The 22566-nt window shown below is 39.5% G+C and overlaps 1 protein-coding gene across 19 annotated transcripts in view; it reads right to left on the reverse strand.

Annotated features, from left to right (window-relative positions):
* SLC35F4 (solute carrier family 35 member F4) overlaps nt 1-22566 on the reverse strand; it is a 419262-nt gene that overhangs the window by 20609 nt on the left and 376087 nt on the right. For 9 of the 19 annotated variants that reach the window (NR_159375.2, NR_159374.2, XM_011536723.4 and 6 more), the window contains exons 2-3: nt 9411-9596; nt 4688-4985 (exon numbers count right to left, since the gene is read on the reverse strand). Coding sequence is in view for 11 of the 19 variants with exons in the window: in XM_011536723.4 (XP_011535025.1) it covers nt 4688-4985; nt 9411-9596 (484 nt within the window). In the remaining 8 variants the exon portion in view is untranslated. Of the gene's footprint in view, nt 1-4687; nt 4986-9410; nt 9597-17869; nt 18001-19514; nt 19728-22566 lie in introns of all 19 variants that reach the window. The other 10 variants (NR_159373.2, XR_943418.4, XR_002957548.2 and 7 more) reach the window with 4 other exon arrangements.

Consider the following 22566-nt stretch of genomic DNA (forward strand, 5'->3'; position numbering starts at 1 on the left):
TCTCATATGGAGGAGGCCATTGGAGAACATTCCCTTCAGAGATAGTATTTTCTGCTTGACAATAAAAGCTCTGATTCTATTTCAGAAATGGTCAGCTTCACTCTACATGCACTATAGGTAGAGTGCTAAATCAGATTTTACTAAGTTCAGAGTTAGTCTGACATGAGAGATGTGGAAAAAATGAAGTGCATTCCCAAAACAACACTTCTGCTAGCAGCAGTCTCTTGTTTTAAATCAGTTATCTTAAACTGACTTAACTTGCTTTGAGGTATTCTTGAGATACTTCTTTTTATATAAAACTTTTGTTGTTTTAAATCAATGTGTGTCTAAACCATGGAAGCATTCAAGTAGAACACACACACTGTACAGGTGCACATAGGTATCTTCAAACAGGAACAACTGTAGTCTGATAATCACATTCCCCTATAAATACTGTTTAAAAATTTTACAATGCAAGATCATGTCTATTTGGATGGGAATCAAATATAAAATATCTTTAGTAATCTCAAATAGTCATAGGGCTCTCCCCCAATCCAGTAAGCATTTACTCTCTTTGAATTGCTTTTTAATTCTTTAATTATAGCTGAGTTTTCATAGACACATATAGAAAATCAACTCACGGTGAGAATTAATATTCCCAAGCACTTGCAAAGTGGTGATAGGAAATTATAGCTCATGCCTATAATCCCAGCACTTTGGGAGGCCAAAAACCGCATGATTATCTCAATAGATGCAGAAAAGGCCTTCGACAAAATTCAACACCCCTTCATACTAAAAGTTCTTAAACTAGGTATGGATGGAACGTATCTATCTCAAAATAATAAGACCTATTTATGACAGACTCACAGCCAATATCATACTGAATGGGCAAAAGCTAGAAGCATTCCCTTTGAAAACCGGTCCAAGAAAAGGATGCCATCTCTTACCACTCCTATTCAACATAGTATTGGAAGTTCTGGCCAGGGCGATCAGGCAAGAGAAAAAAATAAAGGGTATCCAAGTAGGAAAAGAGGAAGTCAAATTGTCTCTGTTTGCAGATGACATGATTATCTATTAAGAAAACCCTACCGCCTCAGCCTAAAATCTCCTTAAGCTGATAAGGAACTTCAGCAAAATCTCAGGACACAAAATCAATGTGCAAATATCACAAGCATTCCTATACACCAGTAATAGCCAAATCATGAGTGAACAGCTATTTACAATTGCTACAAAGAGAATAAAATACCTAAGAATACAACTTACTTACAAGGGATTTGAAGGACCTCATCAACAAACCACTGCTCAAGGAAATAAGAGAGGACACAAACGGGTGGGAAAATATTCTATGCTCATTGATAGGAAGAATCAATATCGTCAAAATGGCCATACTGCCCAAAGTAATTTATAGATTCAATGCTCTTCCCATCAAGCTATCATTGACTTTCTTCTACAGAATTGGAAAAAAACTACTTTAAACTTCATCTGAAACCTAAAAAGAGCCTGCATAGCCAAGACAATCCTAAGTAAAAAGAACAAAGCTGGAGGCATCACACGACCTGACATCAAACTATACTACAAGGCTACAGTAACCAAAACAGCATGATACTGGTACCAAAACAGAGATATAGACCAATGGAACAGAACAGAGGCCTCAGAAATAACACCACACATCTACAACCATCTAGTCTTTGACAAGCCTGACAAAAACAAGCAATGGAGGAAAGATGCCCTATTTAATAAATGGTGTTGGGAAAATTGGCTAGCCATATGCAGAAAACTGAAACTGGACCCCTTCCTTACACCTTATACAAAAATTAACTCAAGGTGGATTAAAGACTTAAACGTAAGACCTAAAACCATAAAAACTCGAGAAGAAAACCTAGGCAATACCATTCAGGATATATGCATGGGTAAAGACTTCATGACTAGGCCAGGCGTGGTGGCTTACACCTGTAATCCCAGCACTTTGGGAGGCCAAGGTGGGCAGATCACGAGGTCAAGAGATCCAGACCATCCTGGCTAACACAGTGAAACCCCATCTCTACTAAAAAATACAAAAAATTAGCCGGGCGTGGTGGCGGGTGCCTGTAGTCCCAGCTACTCAGGAGGCTAAGGCAGGAGAATGTCGTGAACCCAGGAGGTGGAGCTGGCAGTCAGCCGAGATCACACCACTGCACTCCAGCCTGGGTGACAGAGCGAGACTCTGTCTCAAAAAAAAAAAAAAAAAAAAAAAAAAAAAAGACTTCATGACTAAAACACCAAAAGCAATGGCAACAAAAGCCATAATTGACAGATGGGATCTAATAAAACCAAGGAGCTTCTGCACAGCAAAAGAAACTATCATCAGAGTGAACAGGCAACCTACAGAATGGGAAAAAAATTTTGCAATCTACCCTTCTGACAAAGGGCTAATAGCCAGAATCTACAAAGAACTTAAACAAATTTACAAGAAAAAAAAACCAACAAACACTTCTCAAAAGAAGACGTTTATGCAGCCAACAAGCTATGAAAAAAAGCTCATCATCACTGGTCATTAGAGAAATGCAAATCAAAACCACGGTAACATACCATCTCAGGCCAGTTAGAATGGTGATCATTAATAAGTCAGGAAACAACAGATGCAGGAGAGGATGTGGAGAAATAGGAATGCTTCTACACTGTTGGTGGGCGTGTAAATTAGTTCAACCATTGTGGAAGACAGACAGTGTGGCAATTCCTCAAGGATCTAGAACTAGAATTACCATTTGACTCAGCAATCCCATAACTGGGTATATATCCAAAGGATTATAAATCATTCTAAAAAGACACACGCACACGTATGTTTATTGTGGCACTGTTAACAATAGCAAAGACTTGGAACGAACCCAAATGCCCATCAATGATAGACTGGATGAAGAAAATGTGGCACATATACACTATGGAATACTATGCAGCCATAAAAAAAGATGAGTTCGTGTCCTTTGCAGGGCCATGGATGAAGCTGGAAACCATTCTCAGCAAACTAACACAAGAACAGAAAAGCAAACACTGCATGTTCTCACTCATTAGTGGGAGTTGAACAATGAGAACACATGGACACAGGGAGGGGAACATCCCACACCAAGGCCTGTTGGCAGAGGTGGCGGACTAGGGGAGGGATAGCACTGGGAGAAATACCTAATGTAGATGATGGGTTAATGGGTGTAGCAAACCACCATGGCACATGTATACCCATGTAACAAAGCTGCACGTTCTGCCCATGTATCCCAGAACTTAAAGTACAATAAAAACAGAAAAATCTGCCAAGTTACTGCAAAAGGTGATCAAAAATTAAACATTCTTCAAGGCCAAATGAATAAAGAATAATTAGTACATGCACCTTCCAAAAAAAAAAAAAAAAAAGAAAATGGTAGTTGAGGCCAGGCACGCTGGCTCACGCCTGTAATCCCAGTACTTTGGGCGGCCAAGGTGGTCAGATCACTTGAGGCCAGGAGTTGAAGAGCAGTCTAGCCAACATGGTGAAACCCATCTCTACTAAAAATACAAAAACTTAGCCAGGCATGGTGGCGGGCGCTTGTAACCCAAGCTACTCAAGAGGCTGAGGAAAGAGGCGAAGGTTGTAGTGAGCTGAGATCGTGCCACTGCACTCCAGCCTGGGTGACAGAGCAAGACTCTGTCTCAAATGGAAATGGAATTTGAAGATAGACCCTTCAAAGTTAAGTTTATAAGAAGAGTCGTATAATGTACCAGTTGTAATAATTTCTTTTCATTTGGTACAGGGGCAACCCCTGCAAGACAAATTTATTCTGCTGAGGAATAGTAAGTCCATGTGGAGAACTCTTCTTCCATCTGCCATCCACTGGTGTCCCTATTTTTTTTTCTCCTGGGTGATCATAGCAATTTTCCTAGAAGTCACTTCTCAGCATCAGGCTTTTCCTCTTCATGGAACTGTCCACTAGCAAAGGTACTTGGACCCAAATGCTGCTTTTGCCTCCCTTGAGTGCCATGCAGGGCTGTGTGACATCAGCCCTGTCAGCTTCCTGAGCTATCCAAGAGGGGCTTACAGAAGCCAGATTTAGTACAGAACAACCACTGGAACCATAAGACTTTAAGCCCAACCACCACTGTTCATGGTTAGCAAGGAAACAGACAAAGCCCCCATGTGCATCTAGGCAGCAAAGAGTGGCATCTTTTAAAGTTTCTTAGTGCCAAACTCCCCGTTGCATGAAATCAGGCCATGTCATCTGCTAGGCATCTCAGTGTCAGGAATATTGAGCAAATGTTTGTGTAACAATCTTATTAATACCATTTTTTTCTGGGCTTGATGCACTGGGATGTTCTTATAAAACACGACTTTCAGAAATAAATAGATCTAGATTTAAATCTTGGTTCTATTATTTATAAGTGTATAACATTGAATGAGTCATTCAACCTTTCTGAATTTGTGTCCTCTTGTCTTAAAATGGGGATAACACCACCTTAAAATGTAAATGTTACCACCGGTCATAATAAGTTATGCAAAAGCACCAGTACAGTGCCTGGCATGTTATAGACACATTTATATTTTTAAGGGAGGACTGATTCTGCTTCTAGTGCTCGTCTCCAACCTTAGATCTTGTTTCTTCACATACCCCAAAAAACTCAACTCATATTCCCAAGAGATAAAAATAGGCATATTTTCATAAAACATTTCAATGATCTCTTATTGGGCAGTTAACATGAAACCTACCTGAATTTTTTCATTGGAGATTGCTTTTCTTGAGCAGTGGCTAGATGACCAGAATAATAGACTGGGAAAAACATAATGTTCCAGTTTGTTGAAAACCAAGTCATGAAAAATGGGCAATAGAAGTTCTTATAAGTAATTTTTACAATCTGTGTAGTTCCAACCCAAGATGATGATACTGACAAGATGATCAAGAGTCCCCAGATGCCCTTCAGAACCATGGACGTGCAGGACAGGCAGCGAGCCTTGATTCTGTTTTCTTGGCTGCTGTTCTCAGAATGAGTCTGTGTCCCATCGTCTGCTGGAAACAGGAAAGGAATACAAATGTGAGGAAAGCAGGTTATGAAACAGCAATCAAATATATCAGCTCCTTAAAAAAGATGGATGAAACCAAAGAGGCAGACAGTAGAATTACCAGTGTTTTTCTTTTCTACCATCATTTGAAGAGACTGATAACTTCGGCTCACTTTTTCTCTGGACTCTGTGCTCTGCACAATACAGTAAGCATCTGAGTCCCGATCCAGTCCATGAGGTTGCTCATGCGGATGTTATGCTGTTTTCCAGTGTGCCCTTCCCTTGTAAGAGCATTACACATCCCAGCCCCCAAAGACTGGTCTTGGCCACATGCCCTGCGCTTTCTATTGAATGTGAGAAGACATGAGGCATAACACCTCCCATAAGAAGCCTTAGGAGGCATCCCAAGGTCCTACCAGCTCTCTTGCTCTTCCCCTCTGTCATTTCAAAGTAGAACGCCAAATAGAAGGTGTTCTTTCTGTGTGGGAACATGAGCAGAACCCAGCCAAAGCTGCTCTGTATGCACCAACATGAAAAGCGAGTGAGAAATAAATATTCGTTTCCATTTTCCTTTTTTTTTTTTTTTTACGTTATAGCAAATGGCCTGGTGCTGTGACTCAGGCCTGTCATCTCAGCACTCTGGGAGGCCAAGGTGGGAGGATCACTTGAATTCAGGAGTTCAAGACCAGCTTGGCCAAGAAAGAGAGACCTTGTCTATGCAAAAAAAAAAAAAAAAATTAGCCGTGGGAGGTGGCATATACCTTTAGTCCCAGCAACTCCAGAGGCTCAGGTGGGTGAATCCCTTGAGCCCAGGAGTTTGAGGCTGCAGTGAGCAATGATTGTACCACTGCACTCCAGTCTGGGTGACAGAAGGAGACCCAGTCTCTAAAAAAAATGCAACAGAGATGATTATTAAAAGTAATGTGTCCCAAGAATAGAGCAAGTCCTGACTACACAGTCATTTCCCACCTCACCAATGACTAATATATTTCTGGGAGCACAATAAATTCTGCTTTGTACTTTTACTAAGAAAATTTTGCAGCAATTTTACAGCACACTAAAATAGCCAAAACTCTCTAAAAGTGATAATCATGAAGGCTGTCTCCCTTCATGGAAAAAACAAGTTAACATAATGAATTCATGTACCTTTCAGGAAGTTAAACAGGAGCGGAGGTCATTCTGAGTCCCTGAGCTGAGATCCCAGATGGTAATTGCCTACAAGAGTCTCTTGTGTCTCCAAAGACCCCACTTAAGCACAAGGCCTATGCTGAGGGTTAAAGTAGCGCAGCCCAGAGATTGCAAATGGCAGTGGATGGGGCTGCTCACTTTGTGTCTCCAGAGCCTACTGGCTCTCCGCTGAATGTGTTCCTACTGCTTAATGAGCCAGGTGTGGCTGCCCCACTGTGTTAAAAACCTTTACCCAGTTAAGGCTTTCTGATATAATCATTGGGGGAAAGGAGAAGAGAGCCTTGAAAGTGAATTCTCCACTGGGGAATATAAACCAAGTAACTATGAACACAGCAACCACTACATGACTTGTAAATCTTATAAACAGTACTGAATTCTCAGAGCCTAGGCATCCAGAAGATAAAAACTGGCAATCTTCCATTCATTCAACCAAATCTTATGGAGACTCTACCAGGCGCTAGTTAGCTACTTGGATCCTAAGGATTTGAATATGAAAGACTTCAGCCCATGGTCTAGTGGAAAGCCAGAAACACACTCAACACAGTGTGATAAGAGCCAGCTCAGACAGATACAATGCCAGACAAGTACTTGTTGAGGAGCTGGGGGGGATATGATCAGAAAAAATGTCCATGGTGCAGTGACACTGAGATGAGTCTGGAAGTGTGAGTTACTCAGCTCCTTCAGCTGTTTACAGACAACACAGTCTCTTGATAACAGGTCTGCAAATTTCCTCCATGACCATGTGGCTTATGCAGAGAGTAGAAGGAAAACTAGGATAAATAAGAGGATAGAGAATCTTGTGTTGAGAGGCCAAGAAAGGAACACAAACCTGACTTATTAAGTAGGTATTATCATTCCCACTTCACAGATGAAAAAGCTGAGAATTGTGTTAAGGGTTGTCCAAGATTGAACCCAACTGAATCAGTATGACTCCAGGGTCTAAACTTTATTCTGAGCACCCACATGGCTGGGCCTTCAGCCCTTAGCTTTCCATTCAGGCACTGCAAGTTTCAGACTAGTTTGGGAAAAAAGTTCTGTTTCCTGGCAGGAATGGCAGTCCTGCATGAAATTTAAAAAGTGATACTTAAGAGAAAGGTGTACCCTACTACACTTCAGATCTCATGATTCCCAGGGACTACCTTATAAAGGAGGAATAACTCTACAAAGATTCTGAGGCAATATCTGCCTTTACTGTCACCTTCTGTGAAGAATGCGTCTGCACCACTATACTATGGGTGTGCTTTTGATGACACCAATAGTCACCTACACCTTTTCATAGTATTGACTCTAGGCTTCTTCTGTTAACTAGATTGATTGTTGCCAATTCTTCGATTTTACAAAGCACAGAAAGATTAGGTACCCAGAACTCTTTTATTTTCTGACCACTTTTAACATGATTTTCTATAGTCCTGCTTAGATTTTGTTATCATTAAAATTGTTTTACCAGGATTCTATCCATTTCTGCGTACCTTTATCAAGTCATGCAAATTGACAGCAGAGGCCACTGGAATTTGGAAACGTGAATTTAAATCCTAGCCCTGCCATTGTATGGCATTGAGTACATTTTTAAATTCCTTTCTTAGCTTCTTTATCTGTCCAACAGTGATAATAGCTATCTCATAGGATTTATTTTGAGATTAAGTACCATAATATCCACAAAATCATGGTGAGCTTCTTTTCAGATTATTCTTTTCTTCTCTTTGGTGCACTGGAATATCCCCAAGTGCTTCCAATAATCACAGAAAGAGTAACTTATGTTCCAGATGATCTTTAATGATATGGTATTTGAAATTTGTAATCTGTGTATGATACATAGGGCATATCTTTATTAACCAGTGTGTTTAATTAACTGGAACATTTTGTTTTGCAAACAACTGGGGTAATAGGAATATTGCAATTTATTAAAGCCAATTAAAACTTTCTGAAAATGTAAGATGTCATTATTTTTCTAAGTTTTAGCCTTGGGGTTCACACAGTGTCTAAGACATCATTTTATTTTCTCATAAAAAATACATTCTCAAATGAGTAGGACCCTAGACGAAGCTTTCACATCTCCTCTCTTCCTCTGTTTACCCTTCCCCCACCCCTAATTGAATCCTCTGAATTGTCATTTTTTTAAGGCAGTTTTCCCAAATTTCTGGAGGTTTTTATTGTTGTTGTTGGTTTTACTACCAACTTATTTTGGTGGTGTATTTTGTTGTTTTTGCTGCTGCTGTTACTATTTTTGAGGATGAAAGAGATTTTAGTATGTTGCCAGCCAAGCTGAAGGAACAAATGGAGAGAAACAAATGGGCCAGAAGAGATGTAGGTAGGGCTATCATGGACACAGGTAGGGGGCTAAAATTGGAAAGGTAGAAAGACAATCATACCACAAGTCATCCCACAGTGATGGTAACTGGTAAACAAAAGCACAGAGACATTCTGAGGTAGAGGAATGCATTTGTAAGCGTACAACTGTTTGCTCTTTTCAGGAACGTGGAAGTATGCTCGGTCATACAATGAGAGGAAGTGAATTTAAACAGGGGACTTGAGTCCATTTCCTGAGGAAGGCAATAAGATGTCCACTACCAATAAGGAACAGTCCTGGCCAGCAGTCTAGTGGACCCAGCTGCATTTAAAAACTATAAATTTTGCTGGGAAACTCATGAGCACAGTTACAAGATTTATCTAGCAATTCCAGTCAGTAACCCAGGAGTTGGCGAGTGGTCAGGTGGATGTGAGGAAAAGCTAAAGTCTCAACTGATCAGAAAATGCTGATCAGGGAAGCCAGTGAAGTCTCCTGCAGAAAGTATGAAACTGGGAATACTAAAAGGGCTCCAGGGACTAACAGTCCCGATGAGGACAAAAGCAGATTCTGTTATTTTACTGGTGTTTTCATTCTTTTCAGGATGGGTACATTGTGCTGTTACTGAATCCCCAGGCTGAGACAAAAGATGCAGGGTTTTGATATTTTGAAGATGAGAAAACTACCTACCTTGTAAACTTCACCAGGAGTCATTGTCTAACCATGTTTTAGTTACTCAACTACAGGTTTTGGCATTCAGTTTCTCTGCCATACTATACACCACTAATAGATTGTATCTATATATTTCCCTGCTTCCTTATCCTCCGGCTTGATAAAGCTTCCCCACATGTACTCATAAGAGTCCGTGTAACATCTCTGCATTCTGTGACAATGGCGAGATCTTTCTATTTAGAAGCTTACTAGGATGTACCGTTATTTAAGAGGAGGTCACCCACATACCTGATCTGTTCTGTCTCTCAACTCTGTGTCCACAAACTCCTGAGGATCCTTGGTTTTGAAGTTCAAGAATAGGAGCAGAGGAATCTTCGGTGACAGACAGTGGGGACAGTTGTCTACTGATGCCACTGTGTGAACTGGGGCAGTTGGCTCCTGGTTTACATCTAGTGACTGATGATCTGGAGGTACCTGGAAAGACAGAGTTCACGCCAGTTTGAGAACTGCCTGAACAAATTGGAAGTAGATTTTATTATTTATTTAATTATTGTTTGGAAACAGGGTCTCACTCTGTCACCCAGGCTAGAGTGCAGTGGTGTGATCTCGAGTCACTGCAGCCTCTGCCTCCCAGGTTCGAGCAATTCTCCTGCCTCAGCCTCCCAAGTAGCTCGAATTACAGGTGTGTGCTACCACACCCAGCTAATTTTGTATTTTTTGTAGAGACAGGGTTTCACAGTGTTGGCCAGGCTGGCTGAAGTAGATTTTAAAGGCCTGAACAGTAAAATATATGGTAGCAACAATCACAGTCCTAATGAGCTTATTCAAATTCTATAAAAGGGGCTCATAAAAAGAAAATGTTATGGCAAGGTCTGTGCCTATAAGATAAAGACTCTTTTAGATAAATCTATTCACTAGAAATGAACACTAGAAGATGGTATTTGGATTGGTACTTGTGTTCAGAATTAATACTTAACACAGTCAAATAGTTTAAGGCAAGGAAGGCACAGTGTTCTGTGATTTTCCACTCTACCCTTTTCTTCCTAAGGCTGTCGATTTCCTAACTGGTAAAACTGCCAACAGTGTTTCCAACAAACTGACTATACACTTTTCCATGGGATTGATCACTAAAATTTAATTTCATTGTGTCTTCTCAATCACTACTAGCCTCTATCCGGTGTTACAGATGAAAATCATCCACCAGCCAACACCCCAAGAATCTCCAACCCCGGGTCAGCCTCATGGGTCTGCAGCCAATATAGTCACATAGGGTGCTGTGCTGAGAAGGGCCCATCCTGCCACTTCCCACCCCTCAGCCCCAATTTTCCTATCCAAATGATGCATCTATCAACATTAAGAGATTAACACTGGTACATCACTATTAACCAAATTCCAAACTTTATTTGGATTTTCACTAGTTTTATCACTAATGTCCTTTTTCTAGGACCCTATTCAGGATACCACATTACATTTAATCATCATGTCCCTTTATCCACCTATGGTCTGATATAGTTGTTCAGTCTTGTTTATCATAACCTTGACAGTTCTAAAGAGAGCTGTTGAAGTACTTCGTAGTCTCTCAATTTGAGTTTGCCAGATATTTTATTTGGCTATATTTGGCTCATGGATTTTTCAGGAAGAACACCACAGAGGTAAAGAATCCTTCTCATCATATAGTATCAGTCATGACATGCTACCAACATGACTTGTTATTGATGATGTTAACTGTGATCACCCAGCCAAGGTCGTGTTGGCCAGGTTTCTCCACTGTCTTTTTTTTCCCTTTCCATGCTCTCTTCTTCGGTAGCCAGTCACTAAGTCCAGCCCACACTCTGGTGTGGGGAAGAGAGGGTGCTAAGCCTCACTTTCTGGAGTCGGGGAGGTCTACATATATTATCTGGATTTCTTCTGTAAAGATAATTTGTCTCTTTTCCTCCTTTATTCACAATTTATTTGTATTGGTATAGACTTATGAATATTTAGTTCATACTTTGGGTTATGATCAAACCTGCATTGTTTATTATTTCACTCAAATTATTCCAGCTTTGGCCATGGCGAGCTCTTTTAGATTGGCTACTGAGTACCTTTGATTTGTCCCCATTCTTTTGCGTTTGAGCTCTTCCTTACTTTCTGGCACTGCAAGATGCCCTGGGCTTGTCTTATAGTTTCCCTGCCCCACTCCTGAAATTAATCACTTCTCCAAGCATTTCTATTTCTTCTATTTCTTTGGAATGATGGTTGCCAGAACCTAGGATGGATAGTGGGTTGAGGGTGGAGGGAGTGGGGACAGTTAATGAGTACAAACATATAGTTAGAATGAGTAAGATCTAATATTTGAAAGCACAAGAGGGTGACTACAGTCAACAATAATTGATTGTAGATTGTAAAATAACTAAGATCATAATTGAAATGTTTGTAACACAAAGAAATGATAAATGCTTGAGGTGATAGATGACATGTTACACATGGTATGTCTGTATAAAAATATCTCCTGTACCTGTAAATATATATACCTACTATGCACCCATACAAATAAAATAAAATGTACTATGTAATCTTGGATTTAGAAAATTAAAAATTTACAGTTACTCAGAAAGTTAACAGAAGCATTATATACTGACTGCTACACTTAAATTAATGCTATGTTACTATTGTTATTATAAGAGCATCAAAAATACCCAGGGTTCTTATTTTACATATTCAGAATGTTTATTATACCTTGTACAGCTATGTTTCTAATTGGACAATTCAAGTTCGATAAAAACGGACTGTCTGAAATTCAGTGAACTCACAATTATTCCTGTTCTTCAAGAGTGGCTGATGCTCAGATACTCCAAGAGTCTTTTAAAATTTATCTTTTGAAATTTATTTTTATAAGGTATGCCTTCTCCTCTTTTCTCAGGGTAATATTGGGTTTCATTTTCCCAATATTCCATTTCCAATCCCTTGGCAATTATACATCAAAAGGAGAAAGTCTAGAAATAGGCTGGGTAGCAAGTTGGGATGGGATTGAGATCAAATATTGTCCATAGTTACCTAAAAAGTTGGTAACTTGTGTGTAGCGAGCAAGTGTTGAATGTATAAGCCACACCAGTGATTTATCTTCCTTTCTCATTTTCACTAAAATATTATGTCCTGGCTTCCATACCTCCTGTTCCTTATGTGATATACCGCAAAGCCCATTGCCTGCTGCCAGCTGCCTCCCACTGGTCAGTTTGTGGAAGAGATCCAAGAGTAGTTCATCCATGACAGACATTTTAATCACTGTCTTAAACAATACAAACTTTAAACTTCCAAGCCAGACCTGGAGACGTATTCAGGGGTTGGGCCATGATACAATTATCTCCAATCCTGGAAGCGAAAACATTGTCCCATCCTCTATGGTCTTGTACCATTTAGTTAATCTAAAGGCAACCCTGACAAATATAAACATTCAGAACATCGTCTGGGATGTAGTCAAGTATCATAAATAAATATTTCTATTTTCTGTTTTGTATGCAACAATGAGTGCCTGAGTGGAACCAGAGATTGCAAATCCAGTTAGTAAACAATGTTCTGATTTTACTAAGTATTGTGAGTAAACTGTATTAGGAGTGATGTGTGGGTGGTATCTCATTTGTCACACCAGATGGTCCCCTATCCTTCTTAAAGACATCTGCTCACCTGACCCATAGCAGTGGGGCCATCTTGGGCCATTTTCATTATTTGGCCCAGAAGGAGAATATGATTTCTTCATCTGCACTGGTTGGGATCTGCATGCTCCCAAATTCAATTTGATTCAACAAGTAGTTATTAAGCACCTATTATGGGGCAGGTATTGTGTCAGGACCAGAGTTAGACAAATGAAGAATAGTTTGTACCTTCATGGAACTCTCAGTTTTGTATGATGCAGACATGTAACCAATTAGCCACAGTTTGATGCAGCTGGGGGAGCAGGAAGAAAGGGAGTGAGGGATTCATTCAGAAGCCTGGAGCAGGGAAGGCTCTGTGGAAGGTCACATCAAAGGTGTCTTTGAAGGATGAACAGGACTTAATCAGGCAGAGGTTTAGGCTGGGGAATAGGCAATACAGTCAGAGGAAACCGTAGAAGCAAATAGTCAGAGGCATAAGGTGCATGCTATGAAGCTCAATATTAAGACGATCAGCTCTAAGATGCTGAAATCTCAATATACAAGAGTATTGGAAATCCCATTCTTTCACCCTCACCTGTTACTTGAAAAGGAGCTGTCTAATTGAGATTCAGGCAGTATACAGTGGCTAAGAAACCAGGCTGTCTAAACCTGGGGAGACCTCGTAAACAAAAATGACTATTAGGGGCCATTTATTAAATAGAATATTTGACTTCATATACTAGGAATCCAAACTAAATTGGTTTAAAGCTAAAAGGGGAGTTTTTAGGAGCTTAGCGACCTACAGGGACAAGAAGGCCAGAGTGTCCCTAAACCTCAGGAACACCTGGAACCAGGGCCCTGGTGCAATCAGTCTCATCTTCTCCATCTCTCGCTGCTGGGTACCAGCTTCATGTCTTCTCAGAAGGCTGCTGCTTACCTTTCTCTGCGGAAAATTTGGTTGTCTGAAGCTCCTACACTTTCAATCTCACAGCTTTAGCCTTCTGAGAGAAATCTAGTTGCACAGAGTCAAAAATCTGGAGAAAGGAACTTGAATATTACACCGATGCTTGTCCAATTTCTGTCACTAGCAGAGCGAACATCGCAACAGGCTGCAGCTCCCAGGAAAGAAGGAGTGGAGCTGAGAATAAGGTGCCTTGGGTGTTTAGGAACTTCAAAGCGAAAAGGGAAAAGAACTACAGCCACTGAGTAAAACAATTGCTTAAAAAGATTGAGTATAAGATGTGAAGTTCTCAGATAACAACTTGAAAAGCCAAGCTGATAAAAGTTAACTAGGAAAAGGTCTTTGGAAAGCACTGGGGGTAAAAAGCAAAGAGTCAAATGTCTCCATGCGAACAAGTGCAAGATGACTTGGAAGATACAGATAGATCAAAGTCCCAGCTATCATTCAAACAAAGGCCTTACCATTGGCTTTTATCTCCTATGGGCACAAAAGGTCAACAAAACAACTGGCTTTACTAAGTACTATACTGAAGCTGAGCCAGAGACCTTATCCCTATTTGCCCCAAATCGTGAAGCAAACACCGCTATATAGATCTGGTGCCTAAACCTAAAGGTAGAAATCATGAATACCCAGAAGCAATTAACACGATCTAGGGAATGTGTGTGTGTATGTGTGTGTGTGTGTGTGTGTGTATAGAAGGGGTAGTTGCTCTATGACAAGAGGCAGCATAATATGTACCCTGAAAAGGCTGCCCTGAAAAGTAGGATACCACTGGCTGTGTCAACTCAGGTAAATCACTTGACCTCACTTTGTTCACATTCTTTCCTTGCTGAAATTAAAGGATTAGACAAAATGATTTCCTAAATTCCCACAGCTTTCTCTTCTTCAACCTGAAGATTTTTCAAACATGTATTTGCAAATTATGCTTAACCATAACACAACTTTGTCTGTTTTCAACTCATTTTTATAGCCACTTATATGGATAGGGTTCCAGGAGGAAGAGATGGCAAACTCAAAACAGGACAATTTTAGAAAAGGTGGTCAAGGTATAGGGCCATAGGGCAGTGGCTCCCTAAGCCTCCCACCCTAGCATCGCTTGGGAACTTGTTAGAAATGCAAATTCTTAGTGCCAATATCAGACCCATTGAGTCAGAAATTCTGCAGTTGGGTAACCTATAGTTTTAGGAGCCTTCCAGGTGATTCCAATGTAAGTTAAAATTTGTGAAACACTGTATGTGAGAAATCATAGAGGGTAGGGCAGTATTCAGGTTTAACTACAGCTCTTACTAACCACAGGCCTGAAGCGGCGAGGGGACAGAGTGATTAGAAGAATCTGGGGCCGGGCACGGTGGCTCACGACTGTAATCCCAGCACTTTGGGAAGCTGAGGTAGGTGGATCACCTGAGGTCAGTAGTTCAAGACCAGCCTGACCAACATGATGAAACCCCGTCTCTACTAAAAATACAAAAATTCTCGTGTTGAGGCAGGAGAACCTCTTGAACCCCGGAGGTGGAGGTTGCAGTGAGCTAAGATCACGCCATTGCACTCCAGCCTGGGCGACAGAGCAAGACTCTGTCTTGAAAAAAAAAAAAAAAAACAACACCAGAATTTGGAAGGAGAGGGAGGAGAGGGTTGCTTGGCTTAGGTCATGACTTTTAATTAAGGCAGGCACCCAGTTGGGGGTCTTGGAAATACTCCCTCCCTTTGATATCCCACAGGAACTCCCCATTGGTTAATAAGCCAAAGCCAGGAGATAAGACAGCCTCTTTCTTTACAGGTTCAGACCCCAGAGAAAGTTGGGTGGAAAAAAGTGGAAAGAGGATCTGGAGGAGTAAAGAAAAGACATCCAATATTCTGTTTCTACAACAATGCTATGATCACAAAGTCAGGGGTTAGATCATATGATCTCCTAACCCCCTACTAGCTTTATGATTGATTGATAATTCTTCCAAACAAGCTCACGTAAATTATATATTGGCCATAAAACTAGCGCTATTTTCAACTCATCTTTTATAAGTGTGTTTCTTTTAAAGATCCAAGACCTTTTCCATGACTAAGATATTATAATCACTAAAGAAATGCTGAAGACAGAAATGTAACCCTGGATTTTTCACTTGATGTTGGTTGGTAGCCATAATTATTAATCTGTCATTTTTTCTTACAAAAAGATAAAATATCAATAACTAGGGGCCGGGCGCGGTGGCTCACGCCTGTAATCCCAGCACTTTGGGAGGCCAAGGTGGGCGGATCACGAGGTCAGGAGATCGAGACCATCCCGGCTAAAACGGTGAAACCCCGTCTCTACTAAAAATACAAAAAATTAGCCGGGCGTAGTGGCGGGCGCCTGTAGTCCCAGCTACCTGGGAGGCTGAGGCAGGAGAATGGCGTGAACCCGGGAGGCGGAGCTTGCAGTGAGCCGAGATCCCGCCACTGCACTCCAGCCTGGGCGACAGAGCAAGACTCCATCTCAAAAAAAAAAAAAAAAAAAAAAAAAAAACCAAAAAGATAAAATATCAATAACTCAACAAAATATATGAACAGTTATATTTCAGCTTATTTTAAAACTCATATTCTGTTGATTTCAGTGGCAACAAATATTTCCTTGTAGTAGTATCATTTATTGTAATCAGTTTTGGTAGGTTTTTCATAGAAACCCACATGGAATCTGGTTTAAGGGTTACCCTTTTCTTAGGTAAACATATAGCCTTGAAGTTACTGAAAAGGTTCAGCTTGGTGGATAGTCAATGCACAAGCAATAGAAACTTTTCATTTCAATTTATTCTCTAAAAGCCATAACTTCTCAGCACAATTCCATCGTACTTACCAGGTATTACTCACTCCTTATAGTTCTAACAGCTCTTAATTCATTTAATAAATAAATATGTTTTAAAATAACTTGGCTGTTGGTCATATTATCTATATTTTTGTATGCCTTATATATTTTATATTTTAAAAGTTTTTTCAAGACTTGCTTATTATCTTATTATAAATAATAATTATATGTATATTATCTGAAAGCTAGATTTTGAGGATGTAAATCTGAATTATTTAGGTACTTTTACATGCATATTAAAACAACATGAAAAATACCTTTTAATTTTTTTTCAACTTTTATTTTAGATTCAGAGGACACATGTGCATATTTGTTACCTGGGTATACTGCTTGATTCTGGTTTTGGGTATGAATGATCCCATCACTACTGATCATAGTGCCCAACATTAAGTTTTTCAACCCTTTCCCCCCTCCTCCCTCTAGTAGTCCCCAATGTCTATTGCTGCCATCTTTATGTCCATCAGTACCCAATATTTAGCTCCCACTTATAAGAGAGAACATGTAGTATTTGAAAAAGCTTTTAATTTCTAATTCATTTTGTATTTATCTAAAATCTATATCTGAAAGAAAGGAGTACTAATGGTTATATTTCTGTTATAAACATCTTATCCCTAAAATAGTAGTAATCTATCTAGAATACAATTTATCTTCTCTACTTGTAATCAACTTTGAAATCAAAGGTTAGATCACTGCTACCTATTTTTACAATGTAAAAATAAAAATGCCTACTATTTAATTTAGCACCTACTATGCACAAAAAGCCTTGTGTATATTATCTCCAGACCTCACAACAATACTTGTGGGTGTATTTTACTATCCCCATTTTTTACAGATGAGGAAAGAGAATTTCCAATAGCCTAAGTATTGATGAAAACTCAGGTGTGTCCAATTCCAAAGCCCATATTCTCTCCAGTGTATCTCACTGCTTTTCCATCTCAGCTAATCAGTTTTACTGAGCTCCTTCTGTAGGCAAAAAGGTTACAATCTTGCTGGGAAGATAATATATATTTCCCCAAATGCTTAAATACATTAAGGTGAGCAATTCAATAGCACAGAAAATAAGGATAATTATTGTTCAGAAAGTGGAGAGATTAATTTCAGCCTGGATGGTAAAAAAAAAAAAAATGCTTCATAGAGGACAATGGATTCAAACAGATCAAAAAGCAAAGCAAGGTTTGGATAGGAGGAGAGCCTAGGGCAGCTTCCAACACAGGAAAGTGTGGATTTTGCCCTTTTAATTGTGGGGAGCAAACAAGGTGTTTAAGGTGTTTTGTAGAGAGATGGTGGCTTGAAAGCAGAATTTCGGGAAGGCAAAATTGGCAAGAGAGGGTAGGATACTCACTACAGAGAGAACCTAGGGGGAAGATAACTATTTGGAAGTTGTTAATCCAAAATGTAGTCTTGAAGGGGAGCTGGAATGTCTCCTTTTGAAATTTGTATTGCAGTAGAATCTTTCTTTTCTCTGGCTAGGATCTCAGCATTCACATGATGATGGTAGAAAGAACATTAATAATAGTATTAATAATGGTGTTAAGAACATAAACAATGCACAATAATCATACCTTGTATGTAAGCCAGTTATAATCATTCTTCCCTGTAATGACCTTGTGCAATGCAACTAGTGACACTTTCCCTGGGTCTCCAAATGCCAGAGGAGCTCCACTGTTATACTTGTCAAGCACCTGTTCTGGATTCATATACTAAAGAAGTGGTTGGGATCAAGACATATTTTCTCTGTTTCCCTTACCCTGAATAAAATATTATCCTTAACACTTGCTTGTTTCTATCCCTTCAGACCCTGTATCTCCCTCCAGCATCAAGCTTTAACCCCCAGTCCTGCCCAAGAATAACCCCTCTCCCTTAACTATGGCTCCAAACACACCCATGTCTTATTAAGTCTAAAGTTGTTTTCCTAATTCCAGCTACCTCTTACCTTGTCCAGACCTAGAATCTGTCTACTCAGCCTTGTTACTCTTTACACCTCTGTTATCTGTAGAATTAGATTGTGGAGTAACTTTGATGATTTCTGCTGAACATTTATAGAAATCTGAAATGGATTTTGAAGTATTCCTAAGATACTTATGAAACATTTTTAAATCTATTTTGCTGATTCTAGATATGGATCAGCAGAAATACCACAAAATTGCATTAAAGTTGTCTTTGTGTGTGATAGTCCTGATCTTTAAATAATTTCCCAGATAATAGAAAGTGCTTTTCATTGCAAAAGAACAAACAATTTTTTTAAAAAAAATCTCAGCCCAGTTATCAACTCCTTAAATATATTTAACATGGCTATCTTAGACTTCTGTCCTGTGTTTAGCTACCCAGCACCCAACCCTCTTCCTATTTAGGGGGAGTTCCCCCTCCCTCATTATATAAGTCTTAATGGGAAACAGTGCCCTACATCCTACAATGGAAACTGAAGGAAGCTAAATAATTCTGCTTGCTCTTGGCAATAAGGTGTAGGTATGACTTGGTTTCAGCCCATCAGATGCTCCTATCCAGACTTAGAATCTCCTGGAAGCCACAATGGTTAAAGCCCTACAGTACCAGTGGGTACTACCCAACAACAGGATATTGGGTAGTGATGGAAATGGCAGCGTCTCAGCCAGATTGTTACAGCTGTGGCTCTGAAGGCCTCTTGATTCCTGCACATTTTTCAAGGCTGGGTGACCCTCTCCTCCCAAAGCCAGTCAGTAAATCTTCATTTTGCTTAACAGCCCTAGGGTAGCATTTCAGTGGCTTGCAACCAAGAGTCCTGTTTGATACCAACTTTACAGGACCTTTCCATGTACCCAACTCTGTAGCCCCTTCCTCACCTTATCTATTTCCCTTCTCTATGATGTCTTCACTCACTAGTTACCTTTGTATTACAGCTATCTCTATGGGTGACAGTCCTTGTTCTCAGAGAGGGACCTCTTGAGAGCATTTAGGAAAATTTTCTGGATTTCCCACTAGCTTCCCTGTAAAAGCCCAATGGTAGGCACCTTTAAGACAGTGTAGCTGGCTGTTACCACTGATGAGCACCTGGTGGCAAGTTTTCTCGTGTAAGAGAGCTGGTTGATTCCCAACTGAGGGTAGAGAGAATCTCTTAGATGCACCAACATCACTTCTCTTCTGTATCACTCCGGTCACTGTGATAACGCCAACAGCAAGTGGAGATTCATTTCTATACAGTGAAAAGGCTAGTCTTGATGGTTCTGAAATAATTCAGTTTAACCCGAGAAAACAAAAAGAAATTTAAGATTCACTTTAGAACATTTCTCAAAGAGATCAGCCAACTAAATTGAAGCAAAATAGATAAGAAAATGCTATGCTGTATTCCAGGAATATAGCTAACCAAGGAGGTGAAAGATCTCTACAAGGAGAATTATAAAACACTGCTGAAAGAAATCATAGATGACACAAATGAATGGAAAAACATCCCATGCTCATGGATTGGAAGAATCAATATCATTAAAGTGGCCATATTGCCCAAAGCAATTTATAGATTCAATGCTATTGCTATCAAACTATCAATGCCATTTTTCACAGAATTGGAAAAAACTATTCTAAAATTTATATGGAACCAAAAAAGAGCCCAAATAGCTAAAGCAATCCTAAGCAAAAAGAACAAAACCAGAGGCATCACATTACCTGACTCCAAACTAATGCTACAAGGCTACAGTAAACAAAACAGCATGGTACTGGTACAAAAACAGACATATAGACCAATGGAACAGAATAGAGAACCCAGAAATAGAGCTGCACATCTACAACCATCTGATCTTTCACAAAATTGACAAAAATAAGCAATGGGGGAAAGGATCCCTATTCAATAAATGGTGCTAGAATAACTGGCTATCCATATGCAAAAGAATGAAACTGGACCCATACCTATCACCATATACAAAAATTAACTCAAGATGGATCAAACAGTTAAATATAAGACTTCAAACTATAAAAATCCTAGAAGAAAACCTAGGAAATACCCTTCTCAATATCAGCCTAGGCAAAGAAGTTACGGCTAAGTCCCCAAAAGCAATTGAAAACAAAAAACAAAAATTGACAAACAAGACCTAATTAAACTGAAGAGCTTCTGCATAGAAAGAAAACCTATTAAGGGAGTAAACAGACAACCTTTAGAATTGGAGAAAATATCCACAAACTATGTATCTGACAAAGGTCTATTATCCAGAATCTATAAGGAACTCAAATCAACAAGAAAAAAGCAAATAACCTCATAAAAGATGAGGAAAGGATATGAACAGACAGTTCTGAAAAGAAGACATACAAGCAGCCAAGAAATACATGAAAAAAATCCTCATCTTCACTAATCATCAACAAATGCAAATCAAAACCACAGTGACATACCGTCTCACATCAGTCAGAATGGCTTTTGTTAAAAAGTCAAAAAATAAGAGATGTTGGTGAGGCTGCAGAAAAAATGAAATACTTATATACTGTTGGTGGGAATGCAAATCAGTTCAATCACTGTAGAGAGCAACTTGGAGATTTCTCAGAGAACTGAGAGTTAAACTAGAATTCAACCCAGCAATTCTACTACTGAGTATATGCCCAAAAGAAAATAAATTGTTCTACCAAAAAGATATGTGCATCCATATGTTCATAGCAGCACTATTTACAATTGTAAAGACATAGAATCAACCCAGGTGCCCATCAGTAGTGGGTTGGATTTAAAAAAAAAAAAGTGGTACAGATACACCATGGAATATTATACAGCCACAAAAGAGAATGAAATCACGTCCCTTGCAACAACACAGATACAACTGAAAACCATTATCCTAAGCGAACTAATGCAGAAACCAAAAACCAAATACCACATGTTCTCACTTGCAGGTGGGAGCTAAACATTGTGTAGACATGGTCATAAAAATGGGAACGATAAACACTGGGGAAGACAAGAGGGGGAAGGATGGGAGGGTGATAAGGTTGAAAAAACTACCTATTGGGTACTATGCTCACTACCTGGGTGACGGATTCATTTGTTCTTCAAACCTCAGCATCGTGCTATATACCTTTATAACAAACCTGCACATGTATCCCCTGATTCTAAAATGAAAGTTGAAAAAAGAAAAGTCTATGCTATATGAAGAAAACAAAACTAAAAGTGCTTTTTGGCCTGATATAAGTCTATAGTTTAGCTATTCTCAGAGTATTAAACAAAGTTCCAAATGTCATACCTTTGAATAAACATCTCTTTCTTTTAGGTGGCAAGATACTGGCATTAAGACTGCAAGACTACTTTGCTTTCTATAATACTTATATATTTCTCCAAAAACCCATACAAATAACTTAATGGCATTTTAAAACTCATATTTTAGATGCAGTGGGAGTGCTTATGCTTGAAATAATATCTTACTCAAATAAGCAACTGATTTTAATTTGTTTTCTATTTCTGGATTTTCATATGTTGAGCTTGCTTCCCTGAAACACCCTGTTTGCTTTTATTAAGCTTTCACAGTGACTTTTCTTCATTTGAACCTTTGTTTCTTTTGCTCCAAATTCTTGGTTTCCTTGTAACTTGAACTAGCTTATTTACCTACATACAAGTGTATACAAAGAGTACTAAAATCCTTATGGACCTTGTGACATCACCACTGTCCTCTTGCAATGTCAACCACTCTACCAAGTTTGGCAAATACTCCTTTATGGACTGTAGAAACCCTCTGCTTACAAATTCCTCCCTGGTACGCTCTCCTGGAATCTTCTCTTCCAAATGGCCCTGGTGAGTTTCTTGATTGGTAGATTTGACAACGCATTAATAAGGCAGTCTCATAATCCATTATAGTTCAAAACTCAATTTAGAATAAATCAAGAAACCTGTGGCTACTGGCCTAATTCTGTGATGACTAATTAATTAATAAGTTATGGATGCCTACTGTGTGCCTAGCAGTGCCTGCCCCTCTGCTAAGCACAGGGAAGAACAAGAAGGCATGGTGCTTGCCCTCATTTTTTTATGGTCCAGCAGGGGAAAAGCCAATTATACAAGCAATTTCTATAAAGAGTGCTAAATGCCGAGTGGGTGGACAAGCCAGC

This window comes from Homo sapiens, chromosome 14, assembly GCF_000001405.40.
Source record: "Homo sapiens chromosome 14, GRCh38.p14 Primary Assembly".
Lineage (NCBI taxonomy): Eukaryota > Metazoa > Chordata > Mammalia > Primates > Hominidae > Homo > Homo sapiens.